General features: G+C 47.9%; 1 annotated feature.

The window, feature by feature from the left end:
• Nucleotides 392-891: an enhancer, noted in NCBI's record as "H3K27ac hESC enhancer chr17:25730235-25730734 (GRCh37/hg19 assembly coordinates)". NCBI's record gives its function as "activates a minimal SCP1, AML or CMV promoter by ChIP-STARR-seq in primed H9 embryonic stem cells {active_cell/tissue: H9 hESC(primed)}" and the evidence as "EXISTENCE:reporter gene assay evidence [ECO:0000049][PMID:30033119]".

Below are 3,364 nucleotides of genomic sequence, written 5' to 3' on the forward strand. Positions count from 1 at the left end.
AGCCAAAGCCCACAGAAGTGTTTCTCCCAAAACAAGAGGGGCCTGTGCCCAGAGGTTTATTTAAGACTTTTCCTCTCCCTCACACAGAAAACAGGGAAACGATAAACTGAGTATATTTTTCCCCCAAGAAAAAAAGTTTCCAAAGTCTCAGATAAATGTTTTCTTTGTCTCTTTTTCTTTCTCTTTTTCCTTTTTTTGAGACAGGGTCTCACTCTGTCACCCAGGCTGCTGGAGTGCAGTGGCCCAATCACACCGCTCACTGCAGCTTTGACCTCCTGGGCTCAAGCAATCCTCCCACCTCAGCCTCTGGAGTAGCTGAAACCACAGGCACGTGCCATCACACCCAGCTAATTTTTGTACTTTTTGTAGAGACGTGATTTTACCATGTTGCCCAGGCTGGTCTCAAACTCCTGAGTCCAGCGAACCGCCTGCCTTGGCTTTTCACAGTGTTGGGATTATAGGTGTGAGACACAGTGCCTGGCTAATAAATGTTTTCCACAAGGCTCAGGCTCAGGGTCCCCCATCCCCTTCCCCCGCTTTCCACTCTAGGGACCTCTGCAAGTAGAAAGTTGTCCCCACCCTGCCTTACTTGAGGGGAAGGTGAGGGAGTGGAAGAGGCCTCCCACCTCCCCAGAGCATAAGGTTGGAGCATCTCTATTGTTGTCCCTGCTCCACACACTGAAGACTGTGCCGGGTGCTGATGAAAGACTATGCTGATTTCCCAATGTCAATGGAGGCTCTGAACAAAGAAACCCAGGGTCACACAGTCAATGACAGGCTGAGCTGGTATTCCAACCCAGGCCGGGCTGACCTCAGAGCGATAGCTCTTAGCGGTCCCCATCAATTGGTCTCCACAGATCCTGCAAAGTCATCCAGTCCACCAGCCCACAGCTTCCTTACTGGTGCCTCCAAGGAAGTTTCCCTTATCTATCCTAAGTCTCTCTTGCTATCCCTCTTGCCTTGTTTCCTTTGCCTTGTGCAGAAACAACCCCTCTTCTGACAGTGTCAGGCCCTCCTGACCACAACTATGGCCATCTCTCAGCTTCCCTGTCCTCGCACAAGCAAGATCTCCCACCCTCAAGGCCAAGGGTTTAGATAAGACCTTCATTCCAAGCCATTCCTGATATCACTGGTGTTGCATCAGTTACACATCCCTCATCATCGAATGCTTTCAGTCTTATTTTCGTAAGTGATATAATTCAACCTGTTTTTTCCATCTCCTCTGCCCCAGATGCCCAGAGGAGGCTCCTACCATGGGTGTTTCTTGCTAAGGTGTTGGCTTCAGTCAGTCCAGGCCAAGGGCAAAATGTGTAAGTTCTTGGGCCTGAAAGATATGCATTGACACATGGACACAGGGAGGGGAACATCACATACTGGGGCCTGTCGGGGGATGGGGGGCAAGGGAAGGGATAGCATTAGGACAAATACCTAATGCATGCGGGGCTTAAAACCTAGATGACGGGTTGATGGGTGCAGCAAACCACCATGGCACATGTCTACCTATGTAATAAACCTACATGTTGTGCACATGTATCCCAGAACTTAAAGTATAATAAATTAAAAAAAAAAAGATGTGCATTGAATTCTGCCTTAGCCACTTACCAACTCTGTGGCTTTGTGGGGGGTCTCTGGTCCTCTCTGAACATCAGTTTCCTTGTCTCTGGCTCTCTTCTCATCGGACTCTTGTGAGGATTATTTGGGATGTTTCTTTCAGCCCCAAAATATTTCCTTTTGGAGAGAGCGATTCATTGGATGTCAAGCATTGTACCCTGTTTTCAGTTTAGTGGCTTATAATGAAGCAGCAAGGCACCTAGTGTGTGTTCCCAACACACATTAGGTGCTCAGTAAATGTGTGGCCCCTCCTCCCTCTCCAGACCAGGAAAGATCTCTTTATATTTATTTCACTGGAAATTTTCCCATTTCACTGTGGTTTCCCAGGAACAAGCAGTCCCTGGTGTATTTTGCAAATTAGTACATCCCTCTGCAGATGGCAGGCCTGAGATCAGAGAAGTACACCATGGGTACAAAGTCACATGGCAGGCTGGTAGGTGGTTGACAAGATGGCCCTTGTCAAGTCAATAGACTCTGCTTCCCCTCCTGTATTAATCCATTCTTATGCTGCTAATAAAGAAATACCCAAGACTGTGTAACTTACAAAGGAAAGAGGTTTAATTGACTCACAGTTCAGGATGGCTGGGGGAAGCCTCAGGAAACTTAAAATCATGGCAGAAGGGGAAGCAAACACATCCTTCTTCACATGATGGCAGCGAGAAGTGCCGAGCAAAAGGGGGAAAAGCCCTTTATAAAACCGTCAGATCTCGTGAGAGCTCACCCACTATCACGAGAACTCACTATCACGAGCACCCCCATGATTCAGTTGCCTCCCACCAGGTCCCTTCCATGACATATGGGGATTATGGGAACTACAATTCAAGCTGAGATTTGGGTCGGGGCACAGACATACTGACCTCCAAATCCTCCAAAGGAGATCACCTCCCCTTCCTGTCCCCTTTGGTGTCACTTGAGCAGTTCTAGGTCTTGCTGAGCTCCAAGTCTACCCTCTCATCTCCTCCATCCAGGTGAACTTACTTTTCTCCAGCTTATATCTGCTCAAGGCAAAAAGATAACTTATTGGCCAGACGCAGTGGCTCATGCCTGTAATCCCAGCACTTTCAGAGACCAAGACAGGCAGATCATGTGAGGCCAGGAGTTTGAGACCAGCTTGGCCAACATTGTGAGACCTTGTCTCTACTAAAAATGCAAAAATTATCTGGGCATGGTGGTGGGCACCTGTAATCCCAGTTATTTGGGAGGCTGAGGCAAGAGAATCACTTGAACCCAGGAGGTGGAGATTCCAGTGAGCCGAGATCACACCACTGCACTCCAGCCTGGGCAACAGAATGAGACTGTCTCAAAAAAAAAAGAACTTATTAACTCGTGGACCTGGGAAGTCCAAGCAAGGGCAATTCAGACATGATTGGATCCAGAGCTCAAACAAGGTCTTCAGAGTGGTCTCCATCTTATGTCTCCCTTTCTCCTTCCCTCTGTCTGATGGTTTGAGTCCATAACTGGCCTTCTGCACATGGCAAGAAGGATGTCCCATGGCAGCCCCAATTCTGTTTCCAAATTACTTAGCACCTCAGAGAAAAAGACCAATAGATTCAGCACAAAATCCAAAATCCAGAGGGCCTCTGATTGGCCCTGTCTGGTCTTTTTTTTTTTTTTTTTTTTTTTTTTGACACAGATTCTCTTTCTGTCACCCATGCTGGAATGCAATGGTGCAACCTTGGCTCACTGCAACCTCGGCTCACTGCAACCTCAGCTCACTGCAACCTCCACCTCCCAGGGTCAAACGATTCTCTTA

The sequence above is a fragment of the Homo sapiens genome, chromosome 17, assembly GCF_000001405.40.
Source record: "Homo sapiens chromosome 17, GRCh38.p14 Primary Assembly".
Lineage (NCBI taxonomy): Eukaryota > Metazoa > Chordata > Mammalia > Primates > Hominidae > Homo > Homo sapiens.